The sequence below is a fragment of the Homo sapiens genome, chromosome 12 (genome assembly GCF_000001405.40).
Source record: "Homo sapiens chromosome 12, GRCh38.p14 Primary Assembly".
Taxonomy (NCBI): Eukaryota; Metazoa; Chordata; class Mammalia; order Primates; family Hominidae; genus Homo; species Homo sapiens.
Genome location: NC_000012.12, coordinates 96,543,489 through 96,569,315, shown reverse-complemented (window position 1 = coordinate 96,569,315; position 25,827 = coordinate 96,543,489). Strand labels below are relative to the sequence as shown.

General features: G+C 37.3%; 1 protein-coding gene across 2 annotated transcripts in view; it reads right to left on the bottom strand.

The window, feature by feature from the left end:
* CFAP54 (cilia and flagella associated protein 54) overlaps positions 1-25,827 on the bottom strand; it is a 385,979-nt gene that overhangs the window by 306,240 nt on the left and 53,912 nt on the right. For both annotated transcript variants that reach the window (NM_001367885.1, NM_001306084.2), the window contains exons 15-19: positions 21,338-21,414; positions 15,006-15,134; positions 14,514-14,640; positions 4,762-4,848; positions 4,551-4,672 (exon numbers count right to left, since the gene is read on the bottom strand). In NM_001367885.1, the coding sequence (NP_001354814.1) occupies positions 4,551-4,672; positions 4,762-4,848; positions 14,514-14,640; positions 15,006-15,134; positions 21,338-21,414 (542 nt within the window). The remainder of the gene's footprint in view (positions 1-4,550; positions 4,673-4,761; positions 4,849-14,513; positions 14,641-15,005; positions 15,135-21,337; positions 21,415-25,827) is intronic.

Below are 25,827 nucleotides of genomic sequence, written 5' to 3'. Positions count from 1 at the left end.
ATTAGTTTTCCTCTTGAGGACCAGTCCCACCTGATTACATCTGATACGGAAAAAGAAATTCTCAAAAGATGAGTTTGGAAGGGGAAATGGATGCTGTACAGAAAACAACAGCATCCTCAAAACCGCCAACACTTGGATGGAGGAGCATTTCTGCCTCTTTCTATGAGAAATTACATCTACAAAGACACTGAATGTTCTGTTAGTGGACTAAGAGCAATGACATAAGCCACATAATGATACTATATTTGACCAGAAGTAGAAGATGAAGGACATCCAGTATGGATCCTAGGTGCAATCCTTTAATATAATCCTATGGAATAATATATAAACAGCCAAAATGGACTTCCAGAGGTCAAATAACCAAGACAAGAAAATGGAAAAATGAATCCCCATAATTAAAAAAAAAAAAGCCAGTCATCTCACTTGGAAGCTAATGAGTTATTATCAAAGGTTTGTCCCTCATTTGTGGGAATAAATTGGTCCATCTTAATTGATTAGAAATAAAACAGACACCTGATGAGATTATCCAGATCCACAGAGTCAGAAAATTTCTGAAAAACAGAGACAGGATATGAATTATTTAAGAGTTCTAAAGAGACTCAGGCTTTTCAAACCTTTTTATGATATCAGGTGACACATCAATTACTGATTTGGGGATAATTTTGTTACAAGATCATGATATTGTAAAACATTCTGTTACGTACCCCAGTTGAGAATGATTGCCAAGGGAAATAAATGTATTTGTCTTCTTTAAAAAAGAAAGAAAGTTTGGCAATTATTTGAGCCATAACATCATTGTTTAGGAGAGTACCCTGAGGACTGATCATTAAGCCTTAACATTTAGATAAAAACCACCACTGAGGAGCAGACATGGCTATAGAAGATTTCAGGACTTCTAAATAAATATTCGACATGTTCCTCGTTGGTGAAAATTCTTTAGAGGGCTCCTCATAAAAAATAGAGCCTCTTAATGCATCTCAAGAGTCTATCCTAATAGGACATTATACTCATAATTTTTTCTGGAATTAAAATAGTTTCATTTTTTAAAAAATAGAAGAAATTTTGTAAATTTTACATTTTTTAAAAAAGAAAACAAAAAAAGAGCTGAGAAGATCTCTGAAAAAAGAAAATCGTCCGTGTATATTCTTCCCTCCCTAAAAAAAAAAAAAAGCAAATAGAACTGATTTGACTTGAAATGCTACAAAATAGGAAAAATAATTAAATCCAATTACTGCTAACACAGTTAATAGACTGGTATTTAGGAGACATCAAGACATAAGTTTGGGAAATATTAAAGCCAAAATTCCTTAGAACTTCCAGTACCCCTGAGCTTCTTCATTTGTTCTGGTCCAAATGTTTGAGCCATAACATCATTGTTTAAGAGAGTACCCTAGGGATTGATCATTAAGCCTTAACACTTGGATAAAAACTACCACTGAGGAGCAGAGGTGGCCAAAGAAGATGTTCCTGCCCACACTGGAAACTTGAGACATCCAGGTATCTCAGTCCCGGTATGTTCCCTGGTCTCAGTGGCGGGAGGCAGACACATACAGGGGAACCAGCACACTATGGCAGTACAAAGACCAGATTCAGTCATCATAAAACAAGAGGAAACCTCTCTTCAGGCTCTAAGAAGACCCAAGATTAGTAGTAAGACCAATATTTCTAAAATAAAGATAAGGTTTATTTGCCATAAAAATAGGACTGAAGTACCAATGTCCTCCAAGCACTAGACAATAGCAAACAGCCATGGAAGCATCAGCTGAGAAAATGGATCTGAACACAACCCCGAAGTCTTCCAGCAAAGACCAGACACCACTTGGCCTTGTGATCTCAGACCACCCAACACCACCATCCAACTTCCTCATTCAAATTCTGGAAATTCAAATTTAACCAGGCTCTTCCCTAATACTCCCAGGACAGACTTCCTCACCTTGAACATTGATAGCATCTGTCCATCCAAAATTCTTAGCTTGGCGAAAAATACTTCTTATGAACACATCTTTACTTCCTCTCTGGTCTCCCGTGCTACTATCCTCTCCCCCACCCGACTCCTACCCTTATTGCATCTAAGCTTCTGTCTCACAGAATGACCTGTAGAACTACAAGCACTCTATGACATTTCTCGCCTTGGGACCTTGGCACATTTGTTCTCTCTGCCTGGAATGTCCTTTCTACTGTTTGCGCTCCTGTTTCTCTGGCTCTTTCAGTATTCAAATTCAAGCCATCTGTCTTTCAGCACTCAACTTCACGTGATTTCTCCTGGATGTTTCCTTAAACATTCCCCACTATTGAGTTAGGTACTCCCCTGTTAATTTTCCCTAGCCCTCTTGCAATTAAAGCATATATTTACTTGTCTATGTTTCCACAGACTGGATTTTTATATGAATAAATCCAGGGACCACAAAGGCAGAACCACAAAAAGAAGGTAAATCAATCAATATTTGTTGAATAAATAAAAGATTCCCCCCTTCTATACTCAGCATACTACCAGGCACATAGTGAACTTCCAATACATAATTGCGAAATGGATCAAAATTATTTGTTAGATGGATGAATAGATTGACAGATAACAAGTAAGTGCTACATACCAGGAATCTTGAATTTCAGTATTCTACTTTCTAACCTCAAACACCTATCCTTCTAGCTCCCTCAGACCCTCATTTTCTGGTCCTTGACCTGACCTCATAAAGATGTCCAGTCTCTTGATATTTCCATAGACACCAAGTCTTTAAATGCCTTCATGCCTTCCCTCCCTACTCAATCTGTATCCACGTTTTTAAAGCCATAAACTTTTAACTCATACCTTCATTTTTTTTAAAAAAAATCTAATCCTCCACAAATGTCTGCTGTCACAAATATTCTGCTGTCATTAAGAACACCACATCAGGATAATGTCATACCACCATACGGATCAAGATGTCTAAAAATTCTTGGTCTCCAACTTCAGCTAGAACTTAGTGATGCTGGCCAGTCCCTTTACTTGGAGTCAACTCCCTCATCCATTCCTCCCCACTCTCCACATTATCTTTACTTTCCCAGTTCAATTTTCCACCCTCATGCTCCATTGATGGCAGATATCCTTGCCTCCCACTGCATCCGACAGAGGTAAGAAGGTGTATTAGTTTGTTCTCACACTGCTAATAAAGACATACCCGAGACTGGGTAATTTATAAAGAAAAGAGATTTAAAAGAGGCTCACAGTTTTGCATGGCTGGGTAGGCCTTGGGAAAGTTACAATCATGGCAGAAGAGGAAGCAAACACATCCTCTTCACATGTCAGCAGGAGAGAGAATGAGTGCCCAGTGAAGGGGCAAGCCTTTTATTAAACTATCAGATCTTGCGAGAACTAACTCACTTTCATGAGAACAGGATGGAGGAAACCTCCCCCGTGATTCAATTATCTCCACCTCGTCCCTCCCACAACACATAGGGATTATGGGAACTACAATTTAAGATGAGATTTGGGTAGGGACACAGTCAAAGCATATCAAAAGGCATCAACTCAACTCCCTGCCTTCACACCAACAAACTTTTCTTATCTACATCTGTCTGTTCCTCCTTCCCTTCTGTATCAAAAGATGAGGTGTCTGCCCTGCAGCCCACCCATCATTGAAGATGAATCCCTTTATCTGTGCTTTCAAAATCATCCTCTATAGGCCTTGGCTCTGTGTATTAACCTTTCCCTCTTATTATCTTCAATTTCTCTTTGTTCTGGCACTTCATTTTTAGCATACTATTATGCTAAATTTTCTCATTAAACCCCTTTAGCTCCATATCCCCCTCCTAGCTTTGACCTACTTTTTTCCTTCTCTTATCAGCCAAGACATAGCATTATTCTGTACATCTTCATACATCATTCACTCAGCCAATGCCAGCATACTAAGGGTCTGACTCTACCAAAAAAAATTTTTTTTAATATTCTGGCATGGTGGCATGTCTGTAGTCCCACCCACTGGAAGGCTGAGGTGGTAGGACCATTTAAACCCAGGAGTTCAAAGCTGCAGTGATCTAGGACTGCGCCACTGCATTCCAGCCTAGTTGACAGAGTGAGACCCTGTCTCAAAAAATAAACACATAAAATCAACATATAATGAATTAGCAAGAAGGCAGAAGAATTTCCAGGCCAGAGTGAGACCCGATTAAAAATATCAACAAGGGGATTGGTCCATAAATTAGCAGTATCTATCTAAGAGAGAAGGTACCTCAGCCAATGGACTTTAAGAATTTTAATTCCATTGTAAAGAATACATTAAGCTGGTAAAGTGTCACTCCAATTCTATAATTTCCCTCATTTTGAGTCCTTCTGATTTTATTTGTCTTCTCATGTAGATTGCATGAAGTTCTGATAAAAAGAGAATCTCTCATTTCAGAATTCAGAACTGGAGGTACGAATTAGTTCCCCTGGTCAGGATGAATTATATATAGTGAATCTGAAAGTTCATAATTAAATGTTAAGGGCAACACATTATTTTTAATAAAGGAAATGAATCATTCATTTTAACAGAAATTTTATGTCAGGATTAAAAGAAGAAATGAAATACTGTTACCATCAAAAGTTCCCATGAAGATGTAGAAGTTGCATCTTTCTCGAATATTAAAAGAGCTTTCTGCATTAAGTAAATTGCTTTGGATAATGTATTCTTCTTTATTTTATTCATTATATTTAATTCTATAAAAACAAACATTTTACCAAAAAGGTGAGATTAAAAACTATCTTCCAAATTTTTTGGAAATACCAGTTATCCCAATTTTAATTACCTGTAAAACAATCAGTGCTTCCAGATTGTTTTAACTTTTCCGGACCCTTGGTAGAAATATCTTTGCTAACAGTTGGAGTCTGCAAAACTGAAGAAGAAGACGACTGTCATAACAATTAAGTATGTATCCAAGAGAGGAAATATTTTTTAAATACTAAGGAGTAACTATTCATAAAGCTACTGCTTCCTCTGTCATGTCATTTTTTTCATTAATAGATAAAAATTCATATAAATCTACTATAATGCAGTTTTATCAAATCCTCTTTTATTTGCCACAGTATACCTCAGGACAGAAGAAATTCCAAATTATAAAAATATTTGATTTTCTATCTCATCTTGAATAAAGTCATCCTGAGGATTGATAGAATCCAACCTACTTCTGTTGACTTTACCTTTTCACAGAAGTACAGATGGCAAGTCCTGATACCAATACCAATAAGCTGTCAAACTCTGTCCTCAACACCCCTTCTAGAAAAACTGTTTCATCCAAGGTCCCTTTAAGAGCTCTGGGTAACACACGAAGACCTCCACTATCTTCCAGCTGTGGCTGATGAAATCAGAGCCTGTCTCAAGATTTTGAACTAAAACATGAACTTGCCAGTTGTTGATACTGGTATACAATTGGGACTGACCATCATGGTGGTTCAGTAAAGACAGGAATGTGGATGAGGGGAAAAAAGGATACAACTATATACAACTATACTAGCCCAGGGAGATGGAAACTGTAGCACTGATTCTTGATTTTCAGGTCTGGTGCTTAAGAGACCTGGTAGTATTTTGGTCCTTGGAGATATGCGAGGGTAGCTATAGTAACCTTACAATAAACCCCTTTTACTGAGTTTTAATTATTTGTGCTAATGCACATGAGCCACCATGTGATAGTAATTGATTCGTGAAAAGATGTTAACATACACCATTGAAGAATAGAAGGCATCTGCAGTGGCAAAGGGTAAGGAAACATCTGCATGGAGATAGCAATGCAGAGCAGAAAATAGTGCATCATTCTCTCAATACCAAGGATATTATAAATGCTAATTAAGCTTTCCTGATTATAATCGTTGGAGATAAGAAGGATGAGACTGCAAAAAAATTCTGAATGCCAAATACAGATGCATCATATTTATGTCATGGACATCAACAGGCAACCATTATTGAATAAGAATGCTAATGTAGGGAACATCAGTCTGGCAACAGCATGCTAAAGAAAGACAAGGTAGGGGAACAAAGTGATCAGCTGTGCTAGGATGGCAATTCAATAAAGCCAAGAAAAAATTCAAGGAAACCCAGAGATATTGCAAGGAAATAATAACTAATTCCATTTACATCTGAACTCAAGTCTTGCATCAATATCTTTAAGTGGTCTATGATCAAAACTCATTTGGTCTTCAAAGATTTATGGATGACAATTAGAGAACGAGGTATTAGGAACTCCATGAGTTTAAAAAAAAACTCTAATCCTCCACTAAAGGAAATAATACAGTTACTATGTGAGAATCATGGGCTAGTTTCTTAAAACCTGACACAAAAATTCTATTTACATTTTGAAACATATTTCTAAACCAAATATTTTCAGCCCAAAACATGTTCAAGATTATTATGCTAAGTAATTCATTTATGTATTAGAAAAAACTTTATCAAATTTTCAATTTATACATGATGACACAGAGATATTTTAATTATTACTTGCTTCCCTCTACACCCAGCAGGTCATAGGAGAAGTAGTTTTTGAAACTATGTAAATGTTTAAAATAAAATGTAAAAAGATGAAGAGTATAAAAAAATAAAAGGATGGGGAAAAAAGGAAATTTTATATAAACAGAATACAGGCAGGGCATAGTGGCTCACACCTGTAATCCCAGCACTTTGGGAAGCCAAGGTGGGCAGATCGTTTGAGGTCAGGAGTTCCGAGACCAGCCTGGCCAACATGGCAAAACCCCATCTCTACTAAAAAAAATACAAAAATTAGCCAGGTGTGGTGGCACATGCCTGTAGTCCCAGCTACTTGAGAGGCTGAGGCAGGAGAATCACTTGAACCTCGGAGGCAGAGGTTCCAGTGAGCTGAGATAACGTCACTGCACTCCAGCCTAGGTGACAGAGGGAGACTGTCTTAAAAAAAAAAAAAAAAAAGAATGCAAATACAAAAAAAGGGTCACAAGTATGTATCAAATTGAAAAAAAAATTAAAAATAGAATTCAAGTAAATTTGGACACAGTTCTCTGATGTATGACATTTTCTAGAGACAAAATGAACTGCAAAGAAATCCTTAATTTACTTAGTAGGTTTTTAATAGTGGTATTGGTTTAATAATTTTGAAAGTAATTTGTTAATTTGCCAGGATAAAACAAATGAGTAATTACATTGATGTTGTTACGAACCAGAATGCTCAATATGGGAGAAGGAAAATACAAAAATGGAGAAGGTGAGGAGAAACCTTTTAGTGTTAGAATTGGAGATATCAAAAAGAACTTGTGGTCAGGCGCAGTGGCTCACACCTGTAATCCCAGCACTTTGGGAGGCCGAGGCAGGCAGATCACTTGAGGTCAGGAGTTCAAAACCAGCCTGGCCAACATGGTGAAACCCCATTTCCACTAAGAGTACAAAAATTAGCCGGGCATGTTGGCACATGCCTGTAGTCCCAGCTACTTGGGAAACTAAGACAGGAGAATTGCTTGAACCCAGGAGGCCGAGGTTGCAGTGAGCTGAGATCGCACCACTGGGTGATCGCACCACTCCAGCCTGGGTGACAGAGTAAGACTCCATCTCAAAAAAAAAAAAAAAAAAAGAACTTGTGATTTAAATATATATACATGTGTGTGTGTGTGTGTGTGTGTGTGTGTGTGTGTGTGTGTGTATTTCTTAGCTCTATCTACTAAAAGGAGCCATTGACATCTCAATAGCAATGAGCACTCTTAGCTTACAGATCTTGGTTTCTAAATACCATTTCCTAGCAAAAGGTACCAAATATCATTGGAAAAATAGCTTATTCCAGATCTGGGGGTAGAGAAAGCAAAAGATAGGTCAAGAATATTTTGTTGCACAGAAAGCAAAAAAAATCTCAAAGAATAATGGGGGCTGTATTAGTCTGTTTTCATGCTGCTGATAAAGACATACCTGAGACTGAGCAATTTATATAGAAAAAGGGGTTTAATGGACTTACAGTTCCATGTGGCTAATGAAGCCTCACAATCATGGCAGAAGGCAAAGAGGAACAAGTCACATCTCACATGGATGGCAGTAGGCAGAGAGAGAACTTGTGGAGGGGAACTCCTCTTATAAAACCATCAGATCTTGTGAGACTTACTCACTATCATGAGAACGGCATGGGAAAGACTTGCCCCCATTATGCAATTACCTCCAACCGGGTTGCTCCCACAACATGTGGGAATCCAAGATGAGATTTGGGTGGGGAAACAGCCAAACCAAATCAGGGACATATCAAAGGAACACAGGATCCAGTGTGAAGGGCCTCCCTCCCACTGGCAAAATTTATGACTTTGAGCATCACAAAGAACAATGATGGCAAGTGACTTTAAAAGATTAGTAAAAAAGGAATCTGATCCATAGTGTTACTCAAAAAATTAAAAGAGGCAAAGCAGGGACAGCTCTTGTTTACAAAAGAATGTTACCAAATAAATCTAGAAGGAATAATTCAATTAGAAAATCATCACGTACAACCACTGTAATAATTAATTCAGGAAGGATCACCAATGGAGGGAGTAAGACCATTGGGTGAAAGTCTGTTGGGGAACAGGATATTCATTCCTACATCACCAACAGCACCAATTACTTTTTCACTACAAAGGGGAGAGGGACATTTACAATGCAGAGATCTGGCAGACATCAGCTTAATAAAACGATTGCACTTTGCCTCACCAATAATAAAACAAATAGCCGATGCATGCAATCTAATGTGATACAATGGAATATAAACAGCATCACCTGCATGATTATGAGGAAACTACTAGGAAAGATCAGATTGTGGAACATGTCTTCAAAAATATCAATGTTATGAAAGAAAAAAAGAAGTTGGAGGAGTTATTCTAGATTGAAGAAGAATATGACAGCCAAATGCAGTAAGTGATTTTTGATTACTTCTTAGATCATTTTAAATAAAATCCATTTTCCCCAAAAAGGATATTTGGGAACAATTATGGCAATTTGAAAATTAGATGCATAATAGAGCATGTTCTCAGACATATGTGAGAGCTAAAAAAAATAGTTTACCTCATGGAGGTAGAGAGTCGAATGATGGTTAACAGAGGCTGGGAAGGGATTGGGGGTAGGGGGATAACCAGAGATTGGTTAATGAGTACAAACATATTGTTAGATAGAAGAAAAAAGTTCCAGTGTTCAACAGGACAATAGGGTGGCTATAGTTAACAATAATTTATTATACATTTCAAAATAGCTAGAAGATTTGAGATGTTCTCAACACAAATAACTGATAAATGTTTGAGATGATGAATATCCTAATTACCCTGGGTTGAGTTTTGTACATTGTATGCACGTGTTAAAATATTGCATGTACCCCATAAATATGTACAATTATTATATACCAATTAAAAATGTAAAACTATAAAACATTTAGAAGAAAACATAAGAAAATCTTCATGATCTGGGGTTAGGTAAGGAGTTCTTAGACGGGACACCAAAATCACATTACATAAAAGTAAATAAATGATCAATTGGATGCTAAAAAATAATTGACTATATAATCAATAATATTATTATATCAGTGTTACCTTTCTTCAGAGTGATAATGGTATTATGGTTATTTGAGAGAATGTCCTCATTATTAGCTGACAAATGCTACAGTTTTCAGGGGTAAAATATATCATAATGTCTGCAACTTCTCAGCCTATGGATATGTCCATGTATATGTATATATCTCTACACATACATAATATGATATTGATATAATAGGTATATACATCTACAGATGTTTATACATAGATGTATAAATATACATATTTATATGTGCATGTAAAGAGAAAGACAGTAAACGTGGCAAAATGGTCATGATTGGTGGATTTAGGTGAAGGTTATGTGGATAGTCACTACACTATTCTTTCAACTTTCTGAAGGCTCAAAAATTGTTAAATAAAAAGTTGGAGGGAACAGTTTACCACAGTTAACTTTTTAATTTTTAACTTTTATGGGTACATAGTAGGTGTATATATTTATGGGGTACATGAGATGTTTTAATACAGATATGCAATGCATAATAATCACATCATGGAAAATGGGGTATCCATCCCCTCAAGCATTTATCCTTTGTATTACAAACAATTCAAGTATACTCTTCTAGTTATTTTTAAATGTATAATTAAATTTTTTTTTGAGATGGAGCCTCGCCCTGTCACCCAGGCTGGAGTGCAGTGGAGTGATCCTGGCTCACTGCAATCTCCGCCTCCCAGGTTCAAGCTATTCTCCTGCCTCAGCCTCCCAAGTAGCTGGGATTACAGGCATGCACCACCACGCTCAGCTGATTTTTGTATTTTTAGTAGAGACTGGGTTTCACCATGTTGGCCAGGCTGATCTCAAACTCCTGACCTCAAGTGATCCACCCACCTCTGACTCCCAGAGTGCTGGGATTACCAGCATGAGCCACAGTGCCCAGCCTTACTTCGCTGATTGTATCCTTTGCTGGGCAGAAGCTTTTTAACTTGATATGATCCTATTTGTCCATTTTGCTCTGGTTGCCTGTTCTTAAGGGGTATTGCTCAAGAAATTTTTGCCCAGACCAATGTCCTGGAGATTTTCCCCAATGGTATCTTGGAGTAGTTTTATAGTTTGAGGTCTTAGATTTAAGTCTTTAATCTATTTTGATTTGATTTTTATATATGGTGAGAGAGAGAGGGGTCTAGTTTCATTCTTTTGCATATGAATATCCAGTTTTCCCATCATTTATTGAAAAGACTGTCTTTTCTCCAGTGTATGTTTGTCAAAATGAGTTCACTGTAGGTGTGTGAATTTGTTTCTGGGTTCTCTATTTTGTTCTATTGGTCTATGTGACTGTTTTTATGCCAGTACCATGCTGCTTTGGTTACTATAGCTCTGTAGTATAATTTGAAGTCAGGTAATGTGATTCCTCCAGTAAAGTTGTATCCTGCAACTTTACTTAATTTGTTTATCAGTTCTAATAGTTTTTTGTGGAGTCTTTGGGGTTTTCCAAATATAAGATGGTTATCATCTGCAAACAAGGATAATCTGACTTTCCAATGTGGATGCCCTTTCTTTCTTTCTCTTGTCTGATTGCTCTAGCTAGGACTTCCAGTACTATGTTGAATGTTAATTCTTTTGTCAACCTAGGAAAACTTTCAATTTTTAAATTACCTTTGAATATTTTATTTTATAAATACAAAAATATATTTATCATGTATGTATGTTTTAAATCACATTAATATCATGAACACATGTAAACCACCACCCAGCACCAGAACTGGAACATTAGCAGTAACTTACATCTACCTATATGCTTTTCCTTCCTACGCCATCTCCCTGCCACCTCCACAAAGGAACCACTGTCCTAAACTCAAGGTCATTCTTTTTAATTTTATAGATAGAGAGTGTCAATAAAATCTGGAAATGCAGATGAGTTATACATAATGTCTTCAAAGGACATATGTCTATGTTTCCAGACTTTATGGACTACCTGCATACCTGATAACTATAGTTTTCCTTATATGATAAATTTATGTATATGCAGGTCACTTTTTAATATACAGTTTTATCAATTATTACGTTACTTATTATATATAATATATAATAAGCCTTAAGAATCCCAAGCTTTCATTTTTGAGCTTGATTTAAAACATCCTACTGAATGTAGTCTTTCATTTTATTTTTTTCTGACCCCATCCTCCCATCACACTGAATGTAGTCTTTTAAAACTTACTGTTTTAAAACAAAAATTATGTTTCTAGAATTCATCCACGTTGGTCATTTTCATTGCCATGTGATATTCCCTTACATGAATATATCACAGTTTCTTTATCAATTCTCTATTAATGGACACTTGGGTTGTTTCCAGTTTTTTGCTATTATGAACACTGCTTCTACAAGCATCCTTCTATCTGTAGTTGGTGTACACGTTCAAGAAATTTTACAGGGTATGTACCTATGAGTGACATTGCTGGGTCATAATTTAGATTAATGTTTAGCTTTACAAAATAATTATATTGGCCATAACTTCTTCCTTTTCTATGAAGTTCTCCTTCTTTCTTTTGCTTATTGTCTTGTTATTTGTCTTATTATTGATGTTTTGGAATTTTTGTACATTGTTCATGCTAATCGTTAGTAAATTGCCACTAGACAAAGAGATGGCATGAGAAGGAAGATTCAATTGGTCATCGTTGCCTTTGAAGATAGAAAGTGGTCATGAGCCAAAGAATGCAGGTAGCCTCTAGAAGCTGGAAAAGACAAGGAAACAAGTTCTCCCCCAGAGCCTCCAGAAAGGAATACAGCTCGGTTGACACCTTGATTTTATTATTTAACTTTCGCTTTAAGTTCGGGGGTACATGTGCAGGTTTGTTGCATAGATAAACTCATGTCATGGGAGTTTGTTATACAGATTATTTTGTTACCCAGGTATGAAGCCTAGTACCATTAGTTATTTTTCCAGACCTTCTCCCTCATCCCACCCTTCACCCTCAGAAAGGCCCCAGTGTCTATTGTTCCCCTCTATGTGTCCATGTGTTCTTATCATTTAGCTCTCGCTTATAAGTGACAACATGCAGTATTTGGTTTTCTATCCCTGAATTAGTTTGCTAAGGATAATAGCCTCCAGCTCCATCCATGTTCCTGCAAAGGATATGATCTTGTTCCTTTTTATGGCTGCATAGTATTCTATAGTGTGTATTTACCATGTTTTCTTTATCCAGTCTACCATTGATGGGCATTTAGGTTAATTCCATGTCTTTGCTATTGTGAATAGTGCTGCAATGAACATACATGTGCATGTGACACCTTGATTTTGGCTCAGTGAGCTGCAGTTCAGGTTTCTGACTCCAGAACTGTAAGATAACATATTTGTGTTGTTTCAATGCACTCAAGTTTGTAGTAATTTGTTACAGCAATAATGGCAAACTAATACAATTGTGAAAAATGTATGGGGGACTTGGAAGGGAAAAGCAAAAGCATTTAATTTGAAAAAAAAAGAAAAGAAATATAAATTGCAAATATTTCTCCTAGGTGTGGTGTGGTTTTGGGGTTTTATTTTTATTTTTTTTTTGCTTTCCTTATCTTTAAAATTTTTTGATGATGAGAATTTATTTATATTAATGCAGCCAAATGTATTAATGTATTCATTTTTTTCTTTTAGGATCAGCACTTTTTGAATCTTGTTTAAGAAGATCTTCCCTACTCCAAGCTTAGAAATATATTCTACCATATCTTCTTCTAAAAGTTTTTAAGATTTTTTTTTTACATTTAACTCTTTGGTGCATCTGGAAGATATTTTTGTGTATGGGAAGGTAAGAAATGTAATTTGGTTTTATCCATATGGATATCCAATTATCCAATGAATATGAGGTATTCTAGCACTTTGAAATAAATCTTGACTTATGTTAGAGCGAGATCCCCTACACTCACCTGATTTTTTTTTCCTTCAGGAATGTCTTAGCTATTTATGTCTTCTACCTACATTTTGTAAAAAGATTGTAAAGGTCTACCCAAAAAAATCCTACTGGAATTTTTATTGAAATTGCATTGAGTCTATAGATCTATTTGAATAAAACTGAAATCAGAATAATCTTTCTGATTATTTGGTCTTCTTATCAATAAACACAATCTACCTTCATTTATATAGTTCTTTAACATTTTTCAGTAAAGTCTTATAATTTTTTGCATACTTGTAGCTCTTTGGTTAGATTGAAACCCTTGGTACCTTACAGATTTTTTTGATATAAAAATGATGTCTTTTTATTATATTTGCTAACTGCTGTTGTATAGAAATATAATTACATATTATATATTACATATTATATATTATGTATTATATATTATTATTTTTGTATATGCTGATAGATTCTTTTGCATTTTCTAGGTAGACAATCATATAATCTGGAAAGAACAGTTTTGTTTCTTCTTTTCCAATCCTTATATCTTTATTTTTCTTATCTTCTTGCATTGGCTAGAATTCTCAGTATAAATATTTTTTTCATCTTCCTGCACCAATCAGCAGTGTGTCTACACTGCTCACTCTTAAATTAACCAGCATTTGAATAAATCTATTTAGCTCTATATACAATATTATTTGAATGCTTTACACGCCCCTGCCAGGAACTCATCTCTGACTTTCTTATTTGATATAGATATTTCTGTGTGCCCATAATACTCTGAGCCCACCCCTATTACAAAATGTATCAACCTCAACTGATATGGTTGGCTTACTCATCTAGAAGCTCAAAAGTAGACTGTCTTATTGGCACCTAGCCTAATACGATGCCTGGATTTTAGTAGGTACTCAGTAAATGTTTGCTTGGTTGAATTAACAAAAAATAATTTACTATAACACAAATAAACATAATTAACTTTTTAAGAAGTTTACTAACTGATTTAATATGCAAAGTGTAAAGCAATAAGGAAAGATTTAATTATGTTTTTATTGATATTAATTAGGGAAGTAGAAAAAAATGAAATTTATCTGAAAACTTAAGTCAACAAGAACACAGTTTTCAAATTAAATTGATTCTGTACTGGAGTCTGGCTTAAAATTGATTCAGAATGGTTACTTGCTTTAGTGACTACTACCTTGCAATTTGTCCAGAAGCACAACAGCTATTCGATGCTGAGCTTGAATTAGTTCAAGATGCAAATCCATCATGAAACTATTTGAGGCAAGTGGTTTGTAAGTATCTCCATCTATATGGTGGGTACGCTTTGGTCCAACAGAGTTGAAATAAAAAGAAATATAGTTATCAAAACACACAAAAATAGCTGTATACTATTATCACTCAAGTTATCATCATCTTATTTGTAACCATTACATTCTGCTCACTTCTCAGCCCTTTGCAGTTTGCTTAAACACTAATAAATATGCCCTTAGAATTCATCAGTGTCCTCTTCATTAACAAATTCAAAGACTCCTCATTCTCCTAGCTCTCTTCTGGGAAGAGGGAAATATATTTCTGGCCTATGAGAGGTAAGCCAACACAAGTCATGCTTTACTTACCTACTTTCAAGGCCAGTTTTCTTCCCAGTTAAGTAAAACTTCAATCTAATTTAAGACTCTTCCATTCTTACCTTGGCATAGCAGTGGTCAATTACTGATGATCCATTTGGCAAAGAGGTTAACATGCAATTCAAATTTATTCCACCGATTGCTCTGTCAAGAAGTTTATAAGCAAAAAGTAACTGTTCCACAGGATTTTTCTAAAATAATTTTATAAACAAAAAAGAAAAATAAAACAAGGGAAAATCAAATGCAACACTTCCAATTTTTGACAATAATTCAAAACCACATAACAGAAATTTAAATAGTCTATCTAACACTAACAATGTTATGTCTCTAACTACATGTATTTATCTGTGACTAAATGTGGAGTGCTATCAATATGGGTGACAATAATAAATAAATTTCACCATTTTTCCAAATACAAATTAAACCTTTCACAAACATGTATTAATATATATAACTTCCATTTATGGTTTGCATAATTCTGATTGTACTAAATGTACTGGTACATTTTTAAAAGAGTTCACATAGTTTGTCACTTTCATATACCTAATTTGAAAAAGATTTTTTAAAACAATTTCAGAATCTCAGACTAGAAATTTAGTCCATCAACCCAACAGTCTATATTAGTCTACATCATGATTTTCAAAAACTAAACACTTTTTAATGTAATCATTCTCACAGAGAGACAAATATAGAGAATAATGTAAAGAGCAACCAGCTTTGCCCAAACTTTCAAATTTTCCATATTTTTCCAGATTTTTTAAGGAAATAAAGCATACAGATATATGCATGTTATATATATATAACTATATATATTACTATACATATATTACTATATATATATATAACTATATATATTACTATACATATATTACTATATATATATATAACTATATATATAGTTAACTGTCCACAGTGCCACTCCTCTTCTCTGCCCCAGAGGTAGCCACTGTCCTTGAATTTGGTTTTACTATTTTGTGCATGTTTTTAAACTTTTACTACATGTGTATGTATCCTTAACCATATGCAATATCACTTTGCATATTTTTAATTCTCTTTTATAAAACTCTGTAGGCTCCTTTTAAAACTCAACCATATGTTGTTGAAACTTATTCCTGCTGGTATATGTAACTCAATGGGTCAGTCAGGGATTGGTTATGAACACAAAACTACGCTACATATTTCAAGCAAAAGAAGACTTAATACACAGAATTAGAAGTGTTCATCACCATTGCAAGGCATGAAAGAGCCAAGATAGGAAAGCTGCCAGTGACAATTTTGCTTCATGCAATTCTCAAGAGTTTGCTCAGAAGCCTCTGTGAACCTAAGAATCTAGGAGGCAGCTGACAACAACCTCAAGCACCTACTACACTGAAGCAGGTGAATTGCAAGAGTTTGCTCAGCATGCCTGGTAAACTCATATCATCTATTCGCCACTATGGATTAAGAAGTATCTCTTCTCTTCTGAATTACAAATTCATGCAAATGCCCCTCATTGGAAGACTAATTTAAAACTATACAGAAATGAGATGCTGGAAATATAGTTCCAGGTTTCCCCCCTATAATGCGAAGGTAACTATAGAAGGGAATTGCAATGATGCCAAGTTTACTCTAGTATAAGCCTACTCCAGTTCATTTATCCTCACAGCTACAATGAAATGGTGTTACTTGGAGGAATATGTCCCAATTTATCCACTCTTCTGCCAATGGACATTTAGATTACTATTACTAAGGCCAGGCGTGGTGGCTCACGCCTGTAACCCCAACACTTGGGGAGGCCAAGGCAGGAGGTCACCTGAGGTCAGGAGTTCAAGACCAGCCTGGCCAAAACCGTGAAACCGTGTCCCTACCAAAAAATACAAAAATTAGCCGGGCATGATGGTGCAGACCTGTAGTCCCACATACTTGGGAGACTGAGGCATGAGAATCACTTGAACCCGGGAGGCAGAGGCTGCAGTGAGCCCTGATCATGCCACTGCACTCCAGCCTGGGTAACAGAGTGAGACCCTGTTTCAAAAAACAACAAAAAAAAGATTATTATTACTAAATATGCTGCAATGTATTGTACTTGTCTGTGAATAAACACAAAGTTGATACTTTCTTTTATTCTTTTTTTTTTTTTTTTTTTTGAGATGTAGTTTTGCTCTTGTTGCCCAGGTTGGAGCGCAATGGCGTGATCTCAGCTCACTGCAACCTCTGCCTCCCAGGTTCAAGCAATTCTCCTGCCTCAGGCTTCCAAGCAGCTGGAATAACAGGCATGCGCCACCATGCCCAGCTAATTTTGTATTTTTAGTAGACATGGGGTTTCTCCATGTTGGTCAGGCTTGTCTCGAACTCCTGACCTCAGGTGATCCACCCGCCTTGGCCTCCAAAAGTGCTGGGATTACAGGCATGAGCCACCACGCCCAGCCCAAAGTTCATACTTTCTTTACAGTACTTACACCTTTTCTCTGCTTTCTTTTTTTACCCATCTGTCTAAGACTTCCAGGACATGCTGAACAGAAGAATGACAGATAGCTTTATGTGGTTATACCACTATTAAAGGGCTGCTTTTAATCTTTTACCATAGGTATAGCATTTACTCAAGGTCTTTGGATGCCACCCTTATTAGATACAGAGGTTCTTGTATATTCCTAACTACTAAGAGTTATTTTTTTAAAGGATGGTTGCTTTTAAAGAAGATGGTTGTTGAATATTATCAAATGCTTTTTTTGCATCTCTTTGTCTAAGTGAAGTAGTCACATGTTTTCCTTTCATCAGCTAATGCAATGTATTGCATTATGTATTTCTAGTGTTAAATCATCCTGGCATTCCTAGAATATAAACAATTTTATACTATATATACATACAGACACACACACACACACACACACACACACACACACACACATACCCATTCAAGAATCGCAGGCTCAGGAAGGTTCTTAAGTAACCCAAGTAGTGTAAATTCAAATTAAAAACCTACTTGAGGGCAGGCCCCAAGGTTATAAATCATTAGGAGGAGGAATTTTCTCCTACCCACTCCTCTTCTCACTACCCAAGTTGAGGCATCTCCTTATATACATAGGCAGAGGCGGGTTTTTTTGGGTTTGGGGAGGGTTTTTTGTCTTGTTTTGTTATGCAACAGGGTCTCACTCCAGCCTAGAATGGAGTACAGTGGCACGATCTTGCCTCACTGCAGCCTTGATTTCCCGGGCTCAGGCGATCCTCCCAAGTAGCTAGGACTACAGGCACATGTCATCACACCCAGCTAATTTTTGTATTTTTTTTGCAGAGTCATGGTTTCACCATATTGCCCAGGCTGGTCTCAATCTTCTGGGCTCAAGCGATCCACCCACCTTGGCCTCCCCAAAGGGCTAGGATAAAAGGCGTGAGCCACCATACCCAGGCCAGAGTTTTTTTCTAGTCTACCTTTTCCTAGGATATAATCTTTTGTAGGTTCTAACTTTACATATGAGTCTCCTTTCCAACCCCCATCTTTCATGTGCCCAAGCCTCATCTCTTGTCCCTGGATGGTGGTTAAAAATCTAAGTATATTTGTATAAAAACTATGCCCATCAACCTACTGCAGCATCTACTCATAAACTTACCATGCTAGTTTTCAGTTCCCTTTTCTATTTTGGCCCCTGGGATTTACCCAACTTTCTCATGAGCTCTGCAACATGCTTGAGGATATTTGTTCAAATCTGTCCAAAATCTCTAAGTGTTTTCTCCCAGGAGGATGTTCAGCTCATCTTGCCATTTTGCTAGAAACAGAAGTCTCTAAAAGATATCCCTTTTATTTATTTTTTTATTTTTTGAGACAGAGTCTCACTTTGTTGCCCAGGCTGGAGTGCAGTGGTGCGATCTTGGCTCACTGCAACCTCCGCCTCCCAGGTTCAAGCAATTCTCACACCTCAGCCTCCCAAGTAGCTGGGACTACAGGCAGGCACCACAATGCCTGGCTAATTTTTGTGTTTTTAGTAAAGACAGGGTTTTGCCATGTTGGCCAGGCTGGTCTCAAACTTCTGATATTAAGTGATCTGCCCACCTCGGCCTTCCAAAGTGCTGGGATTACAGGTGTGAACCACCACGCCCAGCCAGGGTATCTTTTTAACATCAAAAAATTTCAAAGACCCCACACGCTCACATTCTATCATCATCATCATCACCATCACTACCACCACCATCATCTTTATGATTTTCATCATCCTCATCACAGTCGACATTTAACTAAAACATGTCGCAGGTATAGGGCTAAATGCTTTACTAATAATCTTTTAGTTGCCATAGCCCAGTATAAGGTGGATACAAATTAGTTATAATTTTATAACCCATTTGTTGAAGAAAGAAATGCTCTGTGTTCAGTAAAACTTTGAAATAAGTTTTCTTTCATTTAATCACAATAGTGTCTCATACATTTTTTAAATAGTAGCATGCATATATGCAAGTTATATAATTTATCCCACCTACAGACTCTGCTGGGTGAACTTATGAATTGCGAATTCTCCTTACAATAAACCGTCATTTTTCCCCTCAACTCCATTCCCCTCAGTGAGTCTAAAAACCCTAAGTTGAGATTCAGTGCTTTACGTAAGATATAAGAGAAAAACAGCAGCTATCATGTGCCAGGTACTAGTTTCCACATTACAATATCTCATTTAAACTATATAACAACTCAGTGGAATAGGTACTATTATAATTTTCCAGATGAGGACACTTATACTCAAAAAGACAAAATAATTCATTCAGCATCACACAAATAGTCAATATCAGAATCCAGACTCAACTACAGGTTTCCACACCAAATGCTATGCTCTTCAACCATGCCAAAGAAAATATGTCTACCATATGCCCAGTACAGCTGAGCAGATTGTGTATTGCATAACTTTAGGGGGTAAAATTCACACTGTTGTCATCACAGACTTCTCTGTATTTATTTTGACGATTTCCCAGCAGATGGTAATAAATTATCTTTAAGAGAGGGTACATTTTTCTTATTTAAATAAATAACAGTTCATAAATGGTCTCGTTTCTTTGTTGTGGGAAAATTGCCACCTTAAAAGAAATCCATTTCATATAGTGGTTTTAATTGCCAGAAAATTTATCTCTCAAGGCAAAATCTAGCACTTTGTACCTATAGGTAGGATTTCTATGTCTGCCCTACTCTGCCTCAGAGAATAAGTGCTAGCCCATAAGCCAGTGATTCTCAAACTCTAATGTCCTTAAAAATCTACCAGAGAGGCCAGGCACAGTAGCTCACACCTGTAATCCCAGCACTTTGGGAGGCCGAGGTGGGCAGATCACGAGGTCAGGAGATCGAGACCATCCTGGCTAACATGGTGAAACCCCACCTCCACTAAAAATACAAAAAATTAGCTGGGTGTGGTGGCACATGCCTGTAGTCTCAGCTACTCAGGAGGCTGAGGCAGGAGACTGGCTTGAACCTGGAAGGCAGAGGTTGCAGTGAGCCAAGAGTGCGCCACTGCACTCCAGCCTGGGCAACAGAGCAAGACTCCATCTCAAAAAAAAAAAAAAAATCTACCGGAGGAACTTTTAAGAATCTCACACCTGAAGTTGTGATTGCATATGTCTGGAGTGAGAGATAGGAAGCTGCATATTTAGCAGACACTGTAAGTGATCCCTGGGAAAAACATTGGCAGACAGCTATTATGCCACCTCAATCTCTTATGCATGTCAGTCTCTGTTCTCAATTTAAGATTTCTCAAATCTAGCTCTCTTCAGAAGACACAAGACAGCATAAAGTACTCAGTTGGCATCCCCTGAAACTTAGCATTAGAAGAGGAACGTGCATTTGAGGAAGTAAATTCAGAACGACCCCACAGTCCTCCTGTACATTCATGATGGCATTTGACTGGTACCATTTCTTAGGACTTTATCTATTATACCAAGTATGGAAGAGAATAGATAAAATAACACTTTTAAAATTAGCACTTGTTCTTCTATTTCAGGGGGCTCCCAAATATAAATGTGAGGGGGGGTGGCATGTTATTAAAAACCAAGTAAAGTCATTTATATCTATGCATTATATAAATATCTTTTATACAAATATCTTGAAGACATTATTATTTAGGATAGGAGTTACTCCTAGGTAGGGGAAAGGCAAGGTGATCAAGAGAGGGTAGCAGAGGAGGTGAGTTTTATCTATACTAGGAATATTTTGTTTCTTAAGCTAGCATATGAGGAAATGGTAAATTATAATGGGGCTTCATTACAATATTCTTCATAAAAGGTAGAAAAATGTCCCTATAGTTCTCAATATATAAAGCCATATAATCCTCAAATTTTAAATATTCAAAATTATTTCTACAATTAACCATTATGCATTTACAAATTTAATATTATTTGAAAATAAAATTGCATGTTTCACCTAAATTTTCTAAATATGTAGTAATACCTGTAATATTGGAAGAATTTCTGTGATCCCTTTTGGAGCTCCAGGGAATTTGTTAGTCCCTTCTCTTAAAGGTACATCTGGAAAAGAAAGGAAGGAGGAAGGGAATGAAGGATGGAGGGGAAGGGAGAAGAGGAGATGAAAAAAAAGGAAAAGTAGGAAGAGGAAGAGGACAGGGCAAGAGTGAGGAGGAAACGAAAGAAGAAGGAAGGACCAGAGAAATAAAAAGGAGGAAAGAGAAAAATGGAAATATAGCAGTGAATCATAATCATAAAAAACTTTATGCTAAATTAATTACTTTTTAATTACCGATAATCTCAGAAATGATTCAACACTAGAATTTGACTAAGCATCAAATTATTTCTTCCATCTAATTAAATATTTTCTTCTGTAAGGTAATTTAAAAAAATCTTGTAACGTAACAAACCAAATATTTATCAACAAGTCAATATCATCTTTCTCTATATTCTATAAGGTCCATTTAAAATCTTTCAGAGGCCAGGTGCGGTGGCTTACACCTGTAATCCCAGCACTTTGGGATGCCGAGGCAAGTAGATACCTGAGGTCAGGAGTTCAAGACCAGCCTGGCCAACATGATGAAACCCCACCTCTACTAAAAATACAAAAATTAGCCAGGCATGGTGGCGCGTGCCTGTAATCCCAGCTACTGGGAGGTGCTGAGGCAGGAGAATTGCTTGAACCCGGGAGGCGGAGGTTGCAGTGAGCGAAGATCATGCCACTGCACTCCAGCCTGGGCGACAGAGTGAGACTTCATCTCAAAAAATAAATAAATAAATATAAAAGCTTTCAGAAGATAGCATAGAAACCCTATCAATTTGGACAAATATCAGAGAAGACTTGTACTTTATGTTTTAGGTGGCAACAAGGTGTTAAGAATAACATTCTTAGAAGTTATAAGAATTTATATATCTAAATAGGGACAACCCCTCATTACATAAATATAGAAGTTTTCAAATTTATAAATGGATTATGCTCCAATATTGATCAGCTCTTCAGAAATGAAACATTTTAACAATCAATAACTTAAATTTTATTTAGCCCATTTATAATGATATAAAACAATAATCTCCCCCACAGTAACTAGTAAATAAAACAATAACATTAAGTAAGAAATAGAGTTGTTTTTTTTTTTGAGATGGAGTCTCACACTGTTGACCAGGCTAGAGGGCAGTGGCATGATCTCGGCTCACTGTAACCTCTGCCTCCCAGCTTCAGGTGATTCTCCTGCCTCAGCCTCCCGAGCAGCTGGGACTACAGGCACATGCCACCATGCTCAGCTAATTTTTGTATTTTTAGTAGAGGCAGGGTTTCACCATGTTGGCCATACTGGTCTTGAACTCCTGACCTCATGTGGTCCACCTGGCTTGGCCTACCAAAATGCTGGGATTACAGGCATGAGCCACTGCACCTGGCCAGAAATAGACATTTTTAAAAAGTAATCAGTAATGCATAATGTAGAAAAATTCTCTTGGCTGAAGGAAAGCTGGAAACTATATATTTTAAATCTACAAGCTAAGAAGATGGTGGAAAATAAATAAACAAACAAACAAACAAACAAATACATGGCCAGGATCTTGGGAAGGAAGTGTGGAGAAAAAAACAAACTATTTTTCCCTGCTTTCATGCCACAACAATCAACACAGATTTCTGTGACTAAGTGTGGAGTGGGGGGTCCCTGCATACCAAACATGAAATCAATTCTGCGGTGGACACCAGCTGGGCATTCTCCAACCCTGTTCACTTCCAACACTACCTTGCAGATAGAGTCAGATCACACAGATTGAGGACTCAGTCCCATAAGACTGCTGTTTTCCCCACTCTGCTCCCTGCTTCCAATGCTGACCATAAGCCCCAGCTTGTTTTACCTGTGCTTCTGACCAGCTGGCTACAAACTAAAGTTCCTGTGACCCCCTCCCTGGGTCTGATTAATTTGCAACAGTGGCTCACAGAATTCAGGGAAACAGTTATGTTTATCACTTTATCATAAAGGCTATTACAAAGGATACAGATAAAGAGATACATAGCATAAGGCATAAAGGAAGGGGCATGGCGCTTCCATGCCCTCCCAGGACCACCACCCTCCAGGAACCTCCAAGTGCTCAGCTATCCAGAAGTTCTCTGTACCATGTCCTCATGGACCTTTTATGGAGACTTCATTAGATATGCATAATTGATGACTGGATGGATGTACAGCTGTGCAGAAATGCGATTGGACAAAAAGGGTATGATCTAATAACCTTTAGAAACCCATTGCTATGATTTGAATATTTGTCTCCTCCAAACTCATGTTGAAATTTAATCCTCAATGTGGCGGTATTGAGAGATGGATCCCATAAGAGATGACTGGGTCACGGAGGCTCTCCTCACATGAATAGGTTAACTCATTCATAGACTAATGGATTAACAGGTTAACGGACTGATGAGTTATCATGGGAGCGGGACTGGTGACTTTATTTTTTTTTGGAAATATATTGTTTGTTTTTTAAAAAATATCTTACACTCACTCATATTTTACTTACTGGCCCTGTTTTATGTCAGTTCAGAGTTTTGTATCTTTTTTATTTATTATACTTTAAGTTCTGGGGTACATGTGCAGAATATGCAGGTTTGTTCCACAGGTATACACGTGCCATGGTGGTTTGCTGCACCCATCAACCCGTTATCTGTATTAGGTAGTTCTCCTAATGCTATCCTTCCCCTAGCTCCCCACCCCCTGACTGGACTGGTGACTTTATAAGAAGAGGAAGAGGTCGGGTGCAGTGGCTCATACCTGTAATCTCAGCACTTTGGGAGGCCGAGGAGGGTGGATCACCTGAGGTCAGGAGTTCAAGACCAGCCTGGCCAACATGGTGAAACCCTGTCTCTACTAAAAATACAAAAAAATTGCTGGGTGTGGTGGCTCATGCCTGTAATCCCAGCTACTCGGGAGGCTGAGGCAAAAGAATCACTTGAACCCAGGAGGCGGAGGCTGCAGTGAGCCAAGATCGTGCCACCGCACTCTAGCCTGGGTAAAAGAGCGAGACTCCGTCTCAAAGGGAAAAAAAAAAAAAAGAAAAGGAAGAGATACCTGATAGCTTCCTCAGCCCCCTATCACTGATGCTCTGTGCCACCTCAGACACTGCAGAAAGTCTCCGTGAGTAAGAAAGCCCTCACCAGATGCAGCCCCTAGACTTTGCACTTCTCAGCCTCCACAACTGTAAGAAATAAGGTCCTTTCCTTTATAAATTACTCAGTTTCAGGTATTCTAAGTAACAGAAAATGGACTAAGATACCCAGCAAGGCCTGTCTGTTCAGATTCTTCCTGGCCTCTCTGTGCCACGTTCCTTCCTCCTGGGTATGGGGCAGGACCCCTTCTGAAATGAGTCTTATGTCCTACAATCAGACAAGGTAGGTCAAAGAATTTCTTTATGATCAGCTCGAAGACAGAGAGGCAGGAGAAGATTAGAGTATATTTTCAGTTTCTATGGCCATCCTTGGAGAGAAAAAGGAGCAGGAGAAAGGAGGAAAGTAGAAAGTCAGAGAGAGAGAGAGAGAGAGAGAGAGAGAGAGATATTCTGTTTTCTGAGGACTGCTTCGGAGGCCTAAAGTGCCCCAACATTATAACAAAAGACTCTCTTTCACTTTTATTGCTCCAAAGCTGTTCTGAAGCTACTTCATGAACCAAGGACAAAAAGCCACTCTTTAACAAAAGGTATGCTTATTGTTTTAGTCACTTAGGAAATAAGAACTAGGGAGTCATGAGCCAGGAACTGCGGACAACAATAATTATTTATATATATATATAAAACATACAAAATATATGTGTTCATTGATGGTTTATGTTATTGGGAAGGTTTCCAGTCAACAGCAGGCTATTAGAGTTAAGTTTTGGAGAAGCCAAAACATGGATTTAGGATGGGTGCCCCTAACCCTCATATTGTTCAAGGGTCAACTGCATATATATCATATATCATAGTATCACAGAGTCACATCTGAATATTGGAAAGGGAGGCCAGAGTATAGAACACATTAGAGCTACTTTTCCCACTGGGGCTTATATCAATTCTGGAGAGAGAAGCTGAGAAACTGAGTGATACCTCTGATAGCCTTGAGAGAAAAGCAACAGGGATTGGGATCCAGGGCCCACCAAGGATGAGAAGCAAAAGAGACTCCATCCTAGAAGTTAGGGTGAACTGAAAATAGATCTTCAAGGAGAAAGCATTTCAGCTTCAAAATATCTTAATCCCTCAAACTGGAATAATGGGATCCTAGAGTATTAGTGCCTTTCATGCATCTAGTAAAAGCAAGCATAAATCTTCCCTAGAAAACGAAAACATCATCCAAAGCCTCAATTATTTCTACAAAATGCTTAGCAATAATGTCCATTACACACTCAAAAATAACCAGACTAGCCAAACAGGTGTGAGGTTAAGTTCTTCATTGAAGACTTCAGTATAATAAATGCAAAAGGAATGAAAGAAGTTAGGAGTCCC